This window comes from Homo sapiens, chromosome 1, assembly GCF_000001405.40.
Source record: "Homo sapiens chromosome 1, GRCh38.p14 Primary Assembly".
Lineage (NCBI taxonomy): Eukaryota > Metazoa > Chordata > Mammalia > Primates > Hominidae > Homo > Homo sapiens.
Window position 1 is genome coordinate 91,238,032 of NC_000001.11, and position 20,131 is coordinate 91,258,162.

General features: G+C 39.6%; 2 annotated features.

Annotated features, from left to right (window-relative positions):
• Positions 13,771–14,271: an enhancer, noted in NCBI's record as "H3K4me1 hESC enhancer chr1:91717359-91717859 (GRCh37/hg19 assembly coordinates)". NCBI's record gives its function as "activates a minimal SCP1, AML or CMV promoter by ChIP-STARR-seq in naive H9 embryonic stem cells {active_cell/tissue: H9 hESC(naive)}" and the evidence as "EXISTENCE:reporter gene assay evidence [ECO:0000049][PMID:30033119]".
• Positions 15,089–15,261: a silencer, noted in NCBI's record as "fragment chr1:91718677-91718849 (GRCh37/hg19 assembly coordinates)". NCBI's record gives its function as "represses an EF-1alpha promoter that drives an FKBP-Casp9 reporter gene in an ReSE screen in HepG2 liver carcinoma cells and phorbol 12-myristate 13-acetate-treated (for megakaryocytic differentiation) K562 erythroleukemia cells {active_cell/tissue: HepG2 | K562(+PMA)}" and the evidence as "EXISTENCE:reporter gene assay evidence [ECO:0000049][PMID:32094911]".

Below are 20,131 nucleotides of genomic sequence, written 5' to 3' on the forward strand. Positions count from 1 at the left end.
GGATGAGAGCTGGACATTTGGATGGTCTGGAATATGGAGATAATTTTGTTTTTGTTTGTTTTTGTTTGTTTTTGTTTTTTTCAAGGTTGAAAGCTTCAGAGTGCAGGGATCAGAAAGCTTCATATTGGAAATATAAAAATGGTACATTTCTGGAGAGCAATTTGATAATTTGTTTCAATAATTTTTTTTTTTTTGAGAGTGTCTCACCATGTCACCCAGGCTGGAGTGCAGTGGAGCGATCATGGCTCACCACAGTCTCAATCTCCCAGACTCAGGTGATCATCCCACCTCAGCCTCCCAGGCAGCTAGGAATACAGGCAAGCACCACCACGCCCTGCCAATTTTGGTATTTTTTGTAGAGATGGGGTTGCAACATGTTGCCTAGGCGGGTCTTGAACTCCTAGGCTCAAGAGATCTGCCTGCCTCAGCCTCCCAAAGTGCAGGATTACAGGTGTGAGCCACCATGCCCAGCTTGTTTCAATAATTTAAATGTGAATTTCTAACAAAAAGCAAATAAAGCTGTAGGTATAAGCATGCTTATTACAACATTGGTTATAACCAAAAACTGCAAATAATCTAAATATGTATCAATAAGGTAGTCATTAAATAAGTGGGCACATCCATGAATGTATTACATGAAAAACGATTATGTATATCAATACATTTATATTGTATTGTTAAAATTAAAGATTAGCCAGGCGCGGTGGCTCACGCCTGTAATCCCAACACTTTGGGAGGCCGAGGCGGGCGGATCACAAGGTCAGGAGTTCGAGACCAGCCTGATCAACATGGTGAAACCCCGTCTCTACTAAAAATACAAAAATTAGCCGGGCCTGGTGGTGTGCACTATAATCCCAGCTACTCAGGAGGCGGAAGCAGGAGAATCACTTTCAATAATTGAAACAGGGAGGCAGAGGTTGCGATGAGCTAAGATCATGCCACTGCACTCCAGCCTGGGTGACAGAGTGAGACTCCATCTCAAAAAAAAAATTGAAGATTAATAAACAAATTATAATTCTACTTTAAAGTGTGTTTATGTTATCTGGATGGCCGTATGCCAAAATATGTTAACTGTGATCATCACCAAGTAGTGGGATTGATGATGATTTTAACTTCTTTGTACATTTCTTTATTATCTGAAATTTCTTCTTTTATTCTCTTTTATCTCTATTTCCCATGAAGATCACCCAATACCTCCTCCCCCAAAACATACGCACATTATTCTAATGCAGTTTATGTAAATCTTTCAGCTTGTATGTATTTCTACAAAACGCATTTTTGTAATTTAGGTATTTGTATGTAGGTATTTGTATGTAGGTATTTAGATTTACTTAGATAGTATGACATCCTGTTCCTTACATTTTTACATAGTACTATGATTTTTAGATCTATGTTGCTATGTGTATACCTAGTCTACTGCATAGAACTGCTGAATTGTTTTATAATAAAGGCATTATGAACTGTAAGCATGTGCTACCTTCATAATTAGATAAATATACAATAAAGATTTTTTTTTTTTTTCAGATGGAGTTTCACTCTTATTGCCCAGGCTGGAGTGCAATGGCATGATCTTGGCTCACCGAAACCTCCGCCTCCTGGGATGAAGCAATTCTCCTGCCTCAGCCTCCCATGTAGCTGGGATTACAGGTTTGTGCCACCACGCCCAGCTAATTTTGTATTTTTAGTAGAGACAGGGTTTCTCCATGTTGTTCAGGCTGGTCTCAAACCCCTACCTCAGGTGATCCGCCCACCTTGGCCTCCCAAAGTGCTGGGATTACAGGTGTTAGCCACCGCACCTGGCCAATAAAGCTATTTTTATTGTGGAAAAAAGAAAGAAAACTACCCTTCTTTAAACCTAAAAGCATACATAAAGTTGCAAATTATTGCACATAATTTTGTCAATGGAATTATCCAAATGAAGAAATATTTATTACAGTGGAGATTCTGTTTTACCAAGCATCTCTACATTTAAAAAGTATTTAGATATATGGAACTCTTTTCTATAAATACATAAAATTCAGAGAAAAGAGAATATTTATTTCTATGTAGACTAAAATGCTTGACTTATTTTAGAAGGCAAAAATTTCAAAAGACAAAGTTATTTTGAAAGTTAAAAGAAGTGAAAGAAATTATTACAGGGTGTGCTCACTATATATTAAAAATGAAATTAAAATCATTTAAAATAAAAGAAATATGATATTGTAATGCAAACAGAAATTAAGGAAAATCCCAAAAGGATAGGAAACAGTTGATGGACAGCACAGGAATATGAAAAGACAGAGGAAGCAATAAAGCCTATTGGGAAAAACTGAAATTTATATATTGAAAGTTCATAATTTTTAACATAAAAATCTAATAATAACTGCTAATCCCTTTCCTTTCTTTAAACTTTAATTTAAGGATAAAAATAGAACTTCAAGAGTAACTTTATTCAGTCATATTTTTATAACATAGATATCAAATACTCTCAGTAAAGATTTGTGTTTAACTTTCAAACTTTTCTTCAAAACAATATCATATTCCTAGGTGAGAGGTATGAAAGAAAATCACATTTCACTATATACTGTGAGAGGAAATGGCAAGATGAGAGTCATATTTCAAAGCAGATGTTACTGAAGTATTGCAAGTCAAGTAAAGGTCACAAAAAGCTTTCTTCTCTTTCTTATTTAGGCTAGTTTTTACTGATAACAGTGGAGAAGGTTTATAACACAGCATTGGAAGACAATACCAACTTGCCCTTACTAAAGAGTATTTTGTTGAAAACAGGGCCTCCTTTTTCTACCCCTCTCCTGAATATTGGGTTTCAGAATGGAGTCATTGACCTAGGAAAAATAAACAAATAGTCTTCAGGGACCCAGAGCCAGGTCAGAAAAACAAATTAAAGTACAGAAGCTTAAGTGTGAAAACAAACAAAAACCCCACAAAATAGTGATTTGGGAGTCCAGGGCCAAATGGGAAGAAGGACTGAGGGGAAAGGACCCACACAATGACCAGATTATCTAGGGAGAAGGTCACAGCAGTCTTGCTTTCTCTGGAAACTCGAGTTAAACCAGAAACCAAGACTGTAGGATGTGCCTTGAGTAAGAGCTCTCTTGAATTTACTTATGAGTTGATGTAACTTTAAAGATGCAGTCAGCATTTTATTTATTTTTAGGCAGAATGGCATAATGGTTGTGCTGAAGAATCTTGAATCTCACAAAGTTCAAACTTTGTAACCTTTGGCAGTTTATTTAGCTTCCTCATCTACAGAATATATACATAGTAAGAGAATTCACCTTATAGCATTACTAAAAGGATTAAACAAAATAGGCCTTCTAAACAGCTTAGGACAAGTTCTGGCACATAGCATGTATTCAGTAAATGTTAGCTAGTGCTGGTAGAATTACCATTTGAGCATCTATCTGCCTGAGACTGATATCTGAATTTATATACCAATTAAAATTGTTATGTTGTAATGTTTTGATATATCATATTAAATCTAAAGAAGACTTTATTTACTAATATTAAGATATGAAACTTGCACAGATCTATCACTATTGATAATAGAGGGTACAAATCTTAGTCCACAAACTCAAGTATACAAGAAATGTTTTAATTTCTATTTCAAGCCCCCATTACACCCGATGCTAGAAAAATAATCTCAGTCAACTCGAGGTTCCCACTCCCAAACCCAGTTGCATTGGGATTGCATATATGTTCTGGGGGCTATCATCTGTTGTTAGTTGTCAACATCTGACCATGCTACTATCTGTTGAGACTTATGTTCTAGCTGCCAGTCCACAAAGCTGACAGTTTTGTCCTCCTTGTATTGGACACCAGTTTCTGTTGTAGCAGGACAAGCCACAGACAAAACCCCTCAGACACTGAGTTAAAGAAAGATGGGCTATTGTGAATAATGCCGCAATAAACATACGTGTGCATGTGTCTTTATAGCAGCATGATTTATAGTCCTTTGGGTATATACCCAGTAATGGGATAGCTGGGTCAAATGGTATTTCTAGTTCTAGATCCCAAGAAAATGTGGCACATATACACCATGGAATACTATGCAGCCATAAAAAATGATGAGTTCATGTCCTTTGTAGGGACATGGATGAAATTGGAAATCATCATTCTCAGTAAACTATCGCAAGAACAAAAAACCAAACACCGCATATTCTCACTCATAGGTGGGAATTGAACAATGAGATCACATGGACACAGGAAGGGGAATATCACACTCTGGGGACTGTGGTGGGGTGGGGGGAAGGGGGAGGGATAGCATTGGGAGATATACCTAATGCTAGATGACGAGTTAGTGGGTGCAGCACACCAGCATGGCACATGTATAATGTATACATATGTAACTAACCAGCACAATGTGCACATGTACCCTAAAACTTAAGTATAATTAAAAAAAAAAAAAAAAGAAAGAAGGGCTTTATTCAGCCAGGAGCTTCGGCAAGACTCACGTCTCCAACAACCAAGCTCCCTGAGTGAGCAATTCTTGTCCCTTTTAAGGGCTCCCAACTCTAAGGGGGTCTGTGTGAGAGGGTCGTGATCAATTGAGCAAGCAGGGGGTACATGACTGCGGGCTGAATGCACTGGTAATTAGAATGGAACAGAACAGGACAGGGATTTTCACAGTGCTTTTCTATACAATGTCTGTAATCTATAGATAACATAACTGATTAGGTCAGGGGTCGATCTTTAACTACCAGGCCCAGGGTGTGGCGCTGGGCTGTCTGCTTCTGGATTTCATTTCTGCCTTTTAGTTTTTACTTCTTTCTTTGGAGGCAGAAATTGGGCATAAGACAGTATGAGGGGTGGTCTCCCTTACTGTAACTTTTGGGAGAGTGATAAAATTAGTGAGACACTAAAAGTCCCTACCCCATCCCTCTACTAGCCTCTGGCTTATGGGGAATGATCTGCTGCTCCTCCGACCATTATGCTGGGGCACAAAGGTGCTCTGCGAAGCTATTTCAGTCTCCCTTTGTAAGTCTAACATACCATATTGCCATCTCTACTATATTGTTCCTGGGCTAGCATAGGGTGAACTCTGGGGGTGAGCTCTAGCATAGGGTGAACATAGGGTGAACTCCAGATTAAATAGAAAAAATGATGGTCCTTCTGTTCTTGAATTCCCCAAAATTATGCAAAGGGAGATGTTCTACTATCCCTTAAACTTGTACCCCACCCCACCCTCAGAATCAATCCAGGAGAAAGCTGGGCACAGGTCCTTTTTCAGGTACCCAGCATCTAGGCTCTTTTCTTTTCCTCTGACTTCTCTCCTTTTCCACAAGTCTAGAGAGTCTTCAGTCTTGGGAACAGGAAAAACTGGCTTTGACCTGTCAGGCATTTTTCTAATTGTTTTGTCTCAAGGCTGAATCTTGGCTTTTAAAATTTTTAAAAATCAAAGATTTGAAAACTCTTCCAAAAGGAATGTCTAGTTCATAGTCTAGCTGCCTCAATGAGTAAAGTCACAGGGAAAAAAATAAACAAACAAAACAACCAAAAATACTGATTAATATCTCAAAATACATGAAAATAAGAAGGCATATCTGTTTTTTCTTTTTATCTAAAACTACATTTTAAATACATATAAGTAAAATACTTTGATTTTCAAAAATAAATAGTCTTCCAAGTAAAATATTTTCTGCTAGTTAAAAACATGAATTTCATCATGTATTATTGAGAAGTGCTGGATTTTATAATTCCTTTCAGCCCAAATTGCAAATATCAACTATACCCATTACATGCATGCAGATGGTTCTAACATCAGCTTGCCAGCGAGGATTTCTTAGTGTTTTCAGTTCCTATCCTTGCCTCTTCATCTCCTTCTACAATCTGCTGGTCAATCTGTTCCTCAGTGACTTCTTGTTACTCTCCAAATTTACTGCATCCTCTTTCTAAAATCTACTATCCAAAAGAATGTGTAGCTTTTCTTTTTGTAAAATTTGACCATGTCTGCATGTTATCTCCTTAAGAATTTTAGACACAATACATCTTCTGTGGAGTCCAGAGAAAACTTGAAAACAGAGACATTTGGTAATATAATTTGATGGTGGTGATATTAATTTTTAAAGCTCTTGATAATTTCAAAGATCCATATATTTGTATTGCATTTTGATCACTGTTACCTAGGTCATCAATGAGCCCCCTTGAAATACAATACAGCCATATTTATCTCTCTAGGACTTCTTCATGATACAATGGGTAACAGATAGCAACTCTTCAATCACCATTAAATGAAAGAACAATAAGATAGTTGGCTGTTTTCAAACAATAATGCATAGCGAGACTGTTCTACTCTGTCACATACCATATACTGTATGTCCACTATATTTCAAAAGTGTAAGTGTAAGTGTAGCAACAATTATGGGTAACAATGTGTTTAGAATTGGATTATTATAAGTCCATAGCAGAAAAGAGTTCCTTAACACATTTAAGGAAGAAGACAGTAAAGTACATTTTACATTTCTGAACAAAAGATAAAAACTTTAAAAAAAGTGAGCATTGAGATATAACCCTCAACATTAGGAATTGAAGTAGGAAAAGCAATAAACCAACCTGGGTTCCAGTTCTCGTTCTACAAATTACTTGCAGAGAAACTACAGGCAAGGCATTTAATATTCTAGGGGGCTGTTTTCCCTTCTATAAGCTGAAATTTTGAACTAGAATCTCTAAGGTTCTTTCATTGTACCATTCAATTATTTCCCTTGTTTAAAAACATGTCAGATAACAGAAAGAATAAAATTACAGAAATTTTAAAAAATGCAGAGTAAATCAGTCATGTAAAAAATTGTGGTAAAACCATTTTAACTTTAAAATTGCTTTTCTAGTTTCTAAATGGTAAAAGGTTTACGTTTCCAAACTGATCAATATAGAAACTTAAAAAAAATACTTTATTATGTATATAATTTCTAAATAATTGAAGCCATCTACTGTCATAAGGAGGTACTTCAGGCAAAATACTGTCAGCTTAATTTTAATTCCTTTTTAAAGTAAAAATGTTATAGCTACAACACACAATACGCAAGTGCAGGTTTATGCACATTTTTCTAAATCTTTCAGAATAGAATATTACCAGGTTTTTTTTTTTTTTTGGTTTGTTTCCATTTTGTTTTGCTAAAGTACGTAGGAATTTTTAAGGTGTATGTTAGTTTATGGAAAGGTTTCCAGACTGAAACAAAGATTGTTCTTTTGAATTATCTGCTTTTATTATGTTAATTAAAACAAAACTTTATAGAGCATCTAAGTGCCTCTCAAGCTACATAAAAAGAATACCCAGTTGATGCATTGGAATTATAAAGATAATTTACACAGTTGGTAAAGGAAACAGCCTATACTGAAAGGCAATTAAACAAGAGCTATATTACATTATATTTAAAATAGGAAATGTATGTGCAGAAAACCAAGTAATCATCATTACTCTTATATTTGTCTCCTGGAATGGATTCTCTTAAAATTCTGATAGTGCCTACTTTCCTTTCCTTTCCACCTTAAACAAGTGCTTCTTACACTTTGGTGTGTACATCATCACCTGGGGATCTTGTTAAAATGCAGATTCTTACTCAGAAAGCCTGGGGTGTGGCCTGAGATGCTGAGCTTCTAACCAGCTCCCAGGGGTTTCCCGTGTTACTAGTCTTCAGATTGAGTGGCAAGGCCCTTAACTATGGGCAGCCAGGAGTTGAAATGACAAAAGATAAGAAGTGCCAGGGTTTTCCTTTTTGTTTTGTTCTACGACCTATTCAAAACCCAGACTGAAATTCTTAGCTTATTTACTTAGCGTAATTCTTAGCTTAGTTACTTTTCCATGCTTTTACTTCCTTCTCACTGGTACCTACTCTATTCCCACAAAAGAAAAGTTCTTAAATATACATACCTGTTATTATCTAGCATGCCATAGGTAATACTATCCATGTGACCCATAGGCTAAGGGTCCTCAAAGAATGGTTCCCTACTGTGCTTGACGAGAATGTTTTCTAGAAATAGGGTCATGGTAAAAAGACTCTGAATGACTCTACTAAGGGGTAAATTGTGCCAAAACTTAAAACAGTGAATAATTCTGCAATCATTTCAATTTGGCTTTAGAATTTATTATAATAGAATTTGCAGGAGATTTATTTATTAATTACATTTTACTTAAGGTAATAAAATATATTTGTATGCCCTGACCATACACCAACTAACAGTGTTGGAGAGGAGGAGATGAAGAGAGGAGGATCTGCCTGAAAGCACGAGGAAGTATATGTAGGAGGGTAGTCTGGGATAAATTCTTTTATGAATAATACACCTGTGGAAAGTCAAGATTTCATCTGTCAAGTTCTAATGCAACCAAAATAATACAAATGGACATTGTATTATTTTCCCCCTTCTCAATGGATTATTTAAAGTGCTGTTAAGAATGTTTTGGGGGTACAAATATCTACCATATGTTGAACCCATACTATGTATCCACATCTAAACTAAGACATCTCTATGCAGTGGCTTAGTAAGTTCTCACTATGTATCTACGTGGTAGGTGCCATTATGCCAATAAGATAGGAAAATATAGCCTATCGAGGAAATTTTCTCTTTATTTTTTATTATACTTTAAGTTCTAGGGTACATGTGCACAATGTGCAGGTTTGTTACATATGTATACATGTGCCATGTTGGTGTGCTGCACCCATTAACTCATCATTTACATTAGGTATATCTCCTAATGCTATCCTTCCCCCCTCCCCCCACCCCACGACAAGCCCCAGTGTGTGATGTTCCCCTTCCTGTGTCCAAGTGTTCTCATTGTTCAATTCCCACCTATGAGTGAGAACAGGCAGTGTTTGGTTTTTTGTCCTTGTGATAGTTTGCTGAGAATGATGGTTTCCAGCTTCATCCATGTCCCTACAAAGGACATGAACTCATCCTTTTTTATGGCTGCATAGTATTCCATGGTGTATATGTGCCACATTTTCTTAATTCAGTCTATCATTGATGGACATTTGGGTTGGTTCCAAGTCTTTGCTATTGTGAATAATGCCGCAATAAACATACGTGTGCATGTGTCTTTATAGCAGCATGATTTATAGTCCTTTGGGTATATACCTAGTAAGGGGATGGCTGGGTCAAATGGTATTTCTAGTTCTAGATCCCTGAGGAATCGCCACACTGACTTCCACAATGGTTGAACTAGTTTACAGTCCCACCAACAGTGTAAAAGTGTTCCTATTTCTCCACATCCTCTCCAGCACCTGTTTTTCCTGACTTTTTAATGATCGCCATTCTAACTGGTGTGAGATGGTATCTCATTGTGGTTTTGATTTGCATATCTCTGATGGCCAGTGATGATGAGCATTTTTTCATGTGTCTTTTGGTTGCATAAATGTCTTCTTTTGAGAAGTGTCTGTTCATATCCTTCACTCACTTTTTGATGGGGTTGTTTTATTCTTGTAAGTTTGTTTGCATTCTTTGTAGATTCTGGATATTAGCCCTTTGTCAGATGAGTAGGTTGCAAAAATTTTCTCCCATTCTGTAGGTTGCCTGTTCACTCTGATAGTAGTTTCTTTTGCTGTGCAGAAGCTCTTTAGTTTAATTAGATCCCATTTGTCAATTTTGGCTTTTGTTGCTGTTGCTTTTGGTGTTTTAGACATGAAGTCCTTGCCCATGCCTATGTCCTGAATGGTATTGCCTAGGATTTCTTCTAGGGTTTTTATGGTTTTAGGTCTAACATGTAAGTCTTTAATCCATCTTGAATTAATTTTTGTATAAGGTGTAAGGAAGGGATCCAGTTTCAGCATTCTACATATGGCTAGCCAGTTTTCCCAGCACCATTTATTAAATAGGGAATCCTTTCCCCATTGCTTGTTTTTCTCAGGTTTGTCAAAGATCAGATGGTTGTAGATGTGTGGTATTATTTCTAAGGGCTCTGTTCTGTTCCATTGGTCTATATCTCTGTTTTGGTACCAGTATCATGCTGTTTTGGTTACTGTAGCCTTGTAGTATAGTTTGAAGTCAGGTAGCGTGATCCCTCCAGCTTTGTTCTTTTGGCTTAGGATTGACTTGGCAATGCAGGCTCTTTTTTGGTTCCATATGAACTTTAGTTTTTTCCAGTTCTGTGAAGAAACTCATTGGTAGCTTGTCGGGGATGGCACTGAATCTATAAATTACCTTGGGCAGTATGGCCATTTTCACGATATTGGTTCTTCCTATCCATGAGCATGGAACTTTCTTCCATTTGTTTGTGTCCTCTTTCATTTTGTTGAGCAGTGGTTTGTAGTTCTCCTTGAAGAGGTCCTTCACATCCTTTGTAAGCTGGATTCCTAAGTATTTTATTCTCTTTGAAGCAATTGTGAATGGGAGTTCACTCATGATTTGGCTGTTTGTCTGTTACTGGTGTATAAGAATGCTTGTGATTTTTGCACATTGATTTTGTATCCTGAGACTTTGCTGAAGTTGCTTATCAGCTTAAGGAGATTTGGGGCTGAGACGATGGGGTTTTCTAGATATACAATCATGTCATCTGCAAACAGGGACAATTTGACTTCCTCTTTTCCTAATTGAATACCCCTTATTTCTTCCTCCTGCCTGATTGTCCTGGCCAGAACTTCCAACACTATGTTGAATAGGAGTGGTGAGAGAGGGCATCCCTGTCTTGTACCAGTTTTCAAAGGGAATGCTTCCAGTTTTTGTCCATTCAGTATGATATTGGCTGTGGGTTTGTCATAAATAGCTCTTATTATTTTGAGATACGTCCCATCAATACCTAATTTATTGAGAGTTTTTAACATGAAGGGCTGTTGAATTTTGTTGAAGGCCTTTTCTGCATCTCTTGAGATCATGTGGTTTTTGTCTTTGGTTCTGTTTATATGCTGGATTACGTTTATTGATTTTCGTGTGTTGAACCAGCCTTGCATCCCCAGGATGAAGCCCACTTGATCATGGTGGATAAGCTTTTTGATGTGCTGCTGGATTCCGTTTGCCAGTATTTTATTGAGGATTTTGCATTGATGTTCATCAGGGATATTGGTCTAAAATTCTCTTTTTTTGTTATGTCTCTGCCAGGCTTTGGTATCAGGATGATCCTGGCCTCATAAAATGATTTAGGGAGGATTCCCTCTTTTTCTATCGATTGGAATAGTTTCAGAAGGAATGGTACCAGCTCCTCCTTGTACCTCTGCTAGAATTTGGCTGTGAATCTGTCTGGTCCTGAACTTTTTTTCGTTGGTAGGCTATTAATTATTGCCTCAATTTCAGAGCCTGTTATTGTTTTATTCAGGGATTCAACTTCTTTCTGGTTTAGTCTTGGGAGGGTGTATGTGTCAAGGAATTTATCCATTTCTTCTAGATTTTCTAGTTTATTTGCGTAGAGGTGTTTATAGTATTCTCTGATGGTAATTTGTATTTCTGTGGGATCAGTGGTGATATCCCCTTTATCATTTTTTATTGCATCTATTTGATTCTTCTCTCTTCTTTATTAGTCTTGCTAGCAGTCTATCTATTTTGTTGATCTTTTCAAAAAACCAGCTCCTGGATTCATTGATGTTTTGAAGGGTTTTTTGTGTCTCTATCTCCTTCAGTTCTGCTCTGATCTTAGTTATTTCTTGCTTTCTGCTAGCTTTTGAATGTGTTTGCTCTTGCTTCTCTAGTTCTTTTAATTGTGATGTTAGGGTGTCAATTTTAGATCTTTCCTGCTTTCTCTTGTGGCATTTAGTGCTATAAATTTCCCTCTACACACTGCTTTGAATGTGTCCCAGAGATTCTGGTATGTTGTGTCTTTGTTCTCATTGGTTTCAAAGAACATCTTTATTTCTGCCTTCATTTCATTATGTACCCAGTAGTCATTCAGGAGCAGGTTGTTCAGTTTCCATGTAGTTATGCAGTTTTGAGTGAATTTCTTAATCCTGAGTTCTAGTTTGATTGCACTGTGGTCTGAGAGACAGTTTGTTATAATTTCTGTTCTTTTACATTTGCTGAGGAGTGCTTTACTTCCAACTATGTGGTCAATTTTGGAATAAGTGTGATGTGGTGCTGAGAAGAATGTATATCCTGTTGATTTGGGGTGGAGAGTTCTGTAGATGTCTATTAGGTCCACATGGTGCAGAGCTGAGTTCAATTCCTGGATATTCTTGTTAACTTTCTGTCTCGTTGATCTGTCTATTGTTGACAGTGGGGTGTTAAAGTCTCCCATTATTATTGTGTGGGAGTCTAAGTCTCTTTGTAGGTCTCTAAGGACTTGCTTTATGAATCTGGGTGCTCCTGTATTGGGTGCATATATAATTAGGACAGTTAGCTCTTCTTGTTGAATTGATCCCTTTACCATTATGTAATGGCCTTCTTTGCCTCTTTTGATCTTTGTTGGTTTAAAGTCTGTTTTATCAGAGACTAGGATTGCAACCTCTGCTTTTTTTTGTTTTCCATTTGCTTGGTAGATCTTCCTCCATCCCTTTATTTTGAGGCTATGTGTGTCTCTGCATGTGAGATGGGTCTCCTGAATACAGCACACTGATGGGTCTTAACTCTTTATCGAATTTACCAGTCTGTGTCTTTTAATTGGAGCACTTAGCCCACTTACATTTAAGGTTAATATTGTTATGTGTGAATTTGATCCTGTCATTATGATGTTAGCTGGTTATTTTGCTTGTTAGTTGATGCAGTTTCTTCTCGAGGAAATTTTTAATTGGGAAACCTTTTGAAAAAATTTAACCCAACTGTGAGTTTTGTGAAAAGCTCCATTGTATGGTTTATCCTATATGAATAAATATATCCAATATATTTAAAACTTAAGGATAGGAAAACTTAGGGTTATTATTCATTTCATGAAAAGAATAGCCAGTGATTGGAGTTAAGTGGCTAGTATACGTAACAGGGATTTTTTGAGTTACATATATTTAATGTACATATAATTTTCCAGGTAAACACTTGCAAAAAGTTTGGCATGTCTACAATAACGCTGTTAATTTTCTATTCATTTTGATTACTTAGGAGATTGTCTTAGTCTGTTTCCTGTTGCTATAATAGAATACCTGTGGCTGAGTAATTTATAAAGGAAAGAGGTCTATTTTAGCTCATGATTCTGGAGGCTGGGAAGTCCAAGATCAGTTAACCACATCCGGCTGGCTTCTGGTAAGGGCCTCATGCTTCATCATAATATGCCAAAGAAGCAGAAGGGGAGGCAGGCAAGTGCAAGGAGACCAAACATGAGAGGTAGCCTCACTGTATATAACCACTTGGCCTCGCAGTAACTAACCAGTCCTGCAGAGTTAGAACTACTCCTTTGAGAATGGCATTAATTCCTCTTAACAACCTAATCACCTTACTTTTCCATGCTTTTACTTCCTCCTCAATACCGCCACACTGGGGACGAAGCCTCAGCATGAGTTCTGGTCAGAAGAAACCACAGCATTCTGCTCCTCACTCCCCAAACTCATGTCCTTCTTACAATGCAAAATCATCCCATCCCCAAAATCGCCAAAATCGTAACTCGTCCTGCACCAACTTAAAAGTCCAAAGCCCAGAGTCTCATCTAGGAAACTATGAAATCAAAACAAGTTATCTATTTTCCAGATACAATGGTGGGACAGGCATAGGGTATACATTCCTATTCCAAAAGGGAGAAACAGGCAAGAAGAAGGGAGTAACAGGCCCAAAGCAAGTTCAAAACCCAGCAGGTTAGACATTAAATTTTAAAGTTGGAGAATAATTTCCCTAAACTCCATGCACACTAGGGTTGGAGGTGGAGCCCTGAAGGCATCAGGCAGCCCTGCCCCTATGGCTTTGTTGGTGCAGCCCATGTGGCTGCTTTCATGGGTTGGAATCTGGTGCCTGTAACTTTCCCGGGCAGGCATTACCCCCTGCCAGTGACTCTACAATTCTGGGGTCTCAAGGGTGGCCCAGCCCCTGTGGCTCTACTAAGCATTACCCTAGTAATGGAACTCAGCAGTGGTTGCACCCCTATGACAAATCACTACCTGGGCCCCTAGGCTTTTCAATCACCCTCAGATATTTAAGTGGGGGAAGCCACACATCCATAGTTCTTGCATTCTGCACATGGAACTACCAAGGCTTACAGCTTGCACCTTCTGTAGTTTGAGCAAGCGCCACATCTGGGCCTGTTTGAATGAAGGTGTGGTGCTGCCAAGGTTTACAGTTTGTACCGTTTGGAGCAACAAGTTGAGCTGTACCTGAGGCCAGTTGAGCCACAACTGGCTGAGGAGTCCTGTTCCTGAATGCAGAGAGCAGAGAGACCCTAGCCTACCCTACCTAGGCTCAAGGCAGCAAGCCCTTGCTGCCCTGAAGATCCTAACATTCTCAGACTGTGATCGGGGGAGCAGCCTCAAAGATCTCTGAAATGCCTTCAGGGTCTTTCTCCCATTGTCCTGATGATTAGTACCAGATTCCCTTCTAGCCATATTAATCTCTTTAGCAAACAGTTTCTGGGTATTGCTGTGATGTATTCTATATTTTATTATTACTTTATTATGTATCTTAACTTCTCTACCAGAATGTAAACTAAGCTCCACAAGAAAAGAAACAGTGTTTTCATCCTTTACAGTACCAAGTACATCTTCACTTAGCAGATCACAATAAGTCATGCTGAATTAAACTGCTGTTTCTTTAGTGTCAACATCTATGTATGTGAGATGAGCAGACTGTAGTGCACCAATTTTTCATTTTAATGGTGTTTAAGAACCTTTAAAGGTTGTAGCCTGATTGATTCAGATGCAGAAACACACCAGTTGTAAAAAGGACTAAAATAAAGGGACGATTATCCTTATTTTTCAACACAGGGACAAAGTCTTAGTTTTGTTTTAAGCTTTTTATCTAAGTTTAATTCATATGATGCCTCATAGATGTTTACCAATAATAACAATAACAATTTCATGTGGGAGTCTCTCTTCTTTACTTCTCTTATCTCCAAGGTTTTTATGCTTAAAGAAAAAAATATTGATACGGAGTTGGACAACATGACTGAACAGAAGTAGCTAGTGTATGCCACTCTCATGAAGAGAAATGTAATGGGTGAGTATAAATACAGCACCTTCAATGGAAACATCCAAGTACACACATTGGAAACGCATCAAGGAAATAAGCTGACCCATGGAGAATGGAGAAAAGCAAGGCAGGATGGCTGCCCACCCAGGAGTGACATGGAGCCAGGAGCACCTCCTCGGCCCAGGGAAGTGGTGAGTGAGTGAACAACCCCTGAGACCCACACTTCTCCCATGAATCTTTGCAACTCTCAGGTCAGGAGATCCTCTCATGGATCCACCCCATCAGGGCCTTCAGTCTGACACGCTGAGCTACATGGAGTCGTGGCAGAGCAGCCACTCAGACACACACACACACAGCCCCAGCAGCCTTAGATACCCAGGCTTCCTAGCAAAAGCAGCTGCAACTCTGGCAAAGCAGGAGGTTAGACCCCTATACATGTCCCTAGGAAATGGGCTGAATCCTGGGGGCCGAGCAGTGACAGTCTGCAGGCCTTGTTTCCATGGCATCTTGCAGGGTAAGACCCACTGGCTTGGGAAACAAGCCAGCCACTGGTGGCAGCATTACACCTCCCTGAGATGGAGCTCCCAAGGGGAGAGAGAGGCCACCATCTCTGTTATTTCACAGCCTTAGCCATTGTTGCCTTTGGGCTCTAGGGAGTCCGAGTTGACTAGGGACTGCAGTGGTCCCTTGGCATAGCCCAGAAGCTATACAGAGAGGCAGTCAAACTGCTTATTCACATGGATCCCAGACCACATTTCTCTTCACTGGGCAGAATCTCCCAGCTGGGGTCTCTAGTCACCCCCACTGGTGTTTTGCAACCCAAAGCCTCTCTGCCATTGCCTCTGCAGTGGTACTACCCCTGCTATCCTCAGACTAATGAAGACCCTAAGTGATTTATCCACACCTCCAACAAGCTGCAGTCAACTGAAGGAGAGGAGGCCAGTCTGTCTCCTATGGATCTCACCCACATCCTCTGCTCATCACCAGGCAGGGAACCCCTGACTTGGGCCCACACACAGAACCCCCCTATCCTGGGCTGATTGCACTGAGCAATTGCTGACCTTCATCTCTCTGGGGGTGGTGCCTACAGGAAACAGGCAAAAGATCCTTGGTCACAACTACTATGAAGATCCCTTCCTCTGCTGCTTCCAAGTTGAGGAGGAAACATAAACCCTGAGATCACCCCAGAGCTGTGGTGGGCAGCCTGGGAGAGGGCCAAGCCATGATCTACAGCCAGTATTCAAGTAGGAGAGGAGCCCACACTTTCAGAGCATTGCGAGGGAGCACAGCTGCAACTGCAGAAATATAGGGGAGCCACACAACTGAGCAAGGGCCTACCTACCAACTGACCACTACCCCTAAGCACCACCTACTGGATCACACCCCAAAGCTTCAACACCAAAAATACCTTGCTAACATACCCACTGTGAAGCCAAAGACAAGAAGTCAACTACAAATAAAGACCATGCAAAAAGCCTTGGCCTTGTGAAAACATCTAGAAAACAGATCTACTGACTGTACTCAATCTACACAGCAGTTAAAGAAACACCCACACACAGAGGTGAGAAAGAACCAATGCAAGAACTCCAGCAACTCAAATGGTCAGTGTCCACGTCCTCCAACAAGGATTCTTAACCAGGCTGTGTTGGCTGAAATGACAGAAACAGAATTCAGAATATAGATAGGAACAAAGATTATTGAGATTCAGGAGAATGGCAAAACCCAATCCAAGGAAACTAAGAAACACAATAAAAGGATACAGGAGCTGACAGATGAAACAGCTGGTATAAAAAAGGACCTAACTGATTGATGGAACTCACCCTACAAGAATTTCACAATGCAATCACAAGTAATAACAGCAGAAAAGACCAAGCTGAGGAAAGAATCTCAGAACTTGAAGACTGGCTTTCTGAAATAAGTCAGACAAAAATAAAGAAAAAAGAATGAAAAGGAATGAACAAGACCTCCAAGAAATGTGGGACTATGAAAAGAGGCCAAATCTACAGATCATTGGCATCCCTCAAAGGGACAGGGAGAAAGCAAATGACCTGGAAAATATATTTCAGGATATCATCCATGAAAATTCCCCAACCTTGCTAGAGAAGCCAACAGTCAAATTCAGGAAATACAGAGAATCCCTGCAAGAGTCTACACAAGAAAATAATCCCCAAGACACATAATCATCAGACTTCTCAAGGTCAAAATGAAAGAGAGAACGTTAAAGGCAGCTAGAGAGAAAAGGCAAGCCACCTACAAAGGGAACCCCATCAAGCTAACAGCAGACTACTCAGCTGAAACCCCATAAGCCAGAAGAGATTGGGGGCCTATATTGAACATTCTTAAAGAAAAAAACTTCAACTAAGGATTTCATATCCAGCCAAACTAAGCTTCCTAAGCAAAGGAGAAATAAAATCCTTTTCAGATAAGCAAATGCTGAAGGAGTTCATTATCAAAAGACCCACCTTACAAGATATCTTGAAAGAAGCACTAAATATGGAAAGGAAAAACCATTACCAGCCAATACAAAAACACACTTAAGGACACAGACTACTGTGACACTATAAAGCAACCACACAAACAAGCTGGCATAATAACCAGCTAACAACACAATTACAGGATCAAATCCACACATATCAATACTAACCTTGCATGTAAATAGGCTAAATGCCCCCATTTAAAAGGCAAAGGGGCTGGGCACTGTAATCCCAGCATTTTGGGAGGCTGAGGTGGGCAGATCACTAAGGCCGGGAGTTTGAGAACAGCCGGGCCAACATAGTGAAGCCCATCTCTACTAAAAATACCGCGGCAGGAGAATGGCGTGAACCTGGGAGGTGGAGCTTGCAGTGAGCCGAGATCGCACCACTGCACTCCAGCCTGGGCGACAGAGCGAGACTCCATCTCAAAAAAAAAAAAAAAAAACAACCAACAATTAGCTGGGCATGGTGGCACATGCCTGTAATCCCAGCTACTCAGGAGCTTGAGACATGAGAATTGCTTAAAACTGGGATGTGGAGGTTTCAGTGATCCGAGATTGTACCACTGTACTCCAGCCAGCCTGAGCAACAGAGTGAGAATCTGTCTTAAAAAAAAAAGGCAAAGTGGCAAGCTGGATAAAAAAGCAAGACCTAATGATGGTATGCTCTCTTCAAGAGACCCATCTCACACACAATGACACCCACAGGCTCAAAATAAAGGGATGGAGAAAAATCACCATGCAAATGGAAATAAGAAAATAGAGGTTACAACCCTAATTTCAGACAAAACAGACTTTAAACCAACAAAGATTTAAAAAGACAAAGAAGGGCATTACATAATGGTAAAGGGTTCAATCCAACAAGAAGACCTAACTATCCTAAATATATATGCACTCAACACAGGAGCACCCAAATTCATAAGGCATGTTCTTAGAGACCTATAAAGAGACTTAGACTCCCACACAATAACAGTTGGAAACTTCAACACTCCACTGACAGTATTAGACAGATCAGTGAGGCAGAAAATTAACAAAGATATTCAGGACCTGAACTCAACATTGGACCAAATGGATCTCACAGACCTCTATAGAACTCTCCACCCCAAAACAACAGACAACATATTCTTCTCCTTGTCACATGGCACCTACTCTAAAATTGACCACAAAATCGGACATAAAATGACCCTCAGCAAATGCAAAAGAACTAAAATCATACAAAACACACTCTTGGACCATAGTGCAATAAAAATAGAAATCAAGACTAAAATAATCACTCAAAACCATGCAATTACATGGAAATTAAACCACCTCCTCCTGAATGACTTTTGGGTAAATAATGAAATTAAGGCAGAAGTCACGAAGTTCTTTGAAACTAATGAGAACAAAGATAAAAACAGAAGAATCTCTGGGACACAGCTAAGGCTGTGGTTGAGAGGGATATACATAGCACTAAATGCCTACATTAGTAAGTTAGATCTCAAATTAACAACTTAACGTCATAACTGAAAAAAATTAGAGAAGCAAGAGCAAACCAAAAACCATTCAAAAGATCAATGAATCTAGGAGTTGGTTATTTAAAAAAATTAATAAGATAGCCTGCTACTAGACTAATAAAGAAAAAAGGGAGACATTTCAAATAAACACAATTAGAAATGACAAAGGGGATGTTACCACTGACCCGACAGAAATAAAAATAAGCATCAGAGGCTGGGCGCGGTGGCTCATGCCTGTAATCCCAGCACTTTGGGAGGCCAAGGTGGGCAGATCACGAGGTCAGGAGATCGAGACCATCCTGGTTAACACAGTGAAACCCCGTTTGTACTAAAAATACAAAAAATTAGCTGGGCATTGTGGCAGGTACCTGCAGTCCCAGCTACTCGGAAGGCTGAGGCAGGAGAATGGCATGAACTCAGGAGGCGGAGCTTGCAGTGAGCCGAATCCCACTGCACCCCAGCCTGGGCAACAGAGTGAGACTCCATCTCAAAAAAATAAAAAAATAAGCATCAGAAACTACTATGAACACCTCTATGCACACAAACTAGAAAACCTTGAAGAGATGGATAAATTCCTAGACACATACGCCCTCTCAAGACTGAACCAGGAAGAAATTGATACCCTGAGCAGACCAGTAATGACCTCCAAAATTGAATCAGTAATAAAAAGGCTGCCAAGCAGCCAGGCGCAGTGGCTCATGCCTGTAATCCCAGTACTTTGGGAGGCTGAGGCGGGCAGATCATGAGGCCAAGAGATCGAGACCATCCTGGCCAACATGGTGAAACCCCGTCTCTACTAAAAAATACAAAAATTAGCTGGGTGTGGTGGCGTGCATCTGTAGTCCCAGCTACTTGGGATGCTGAGGCAGGAGAATCACCTGAACCCCGGAGGCGGCGGTTGCAGTGAGCCAAGATCGCGCCACTGCACTCCAGCCTAGGCAACAAGACCAAGACTCCGTCTCAAAAAAAAAAAGCCTATCAACCAAAAAAAGCCCAGGACCACACACAGATTCACAGACAAATTCTACCAGATGTACAAAGAAGAGCAGGTACAATTCCTACTGAAACTATTCCAAAAAAATCGAGGAAGAGGGACTCCTCCTCAACTCATTCTATGAGGCCCGTATCTTCCTGATTGCAAAACCTGGAAGAGACAACAAAAAGGAAACTTCAGGCCAATATCTTTGATGAACATTGATGCAAAAATCCTCAA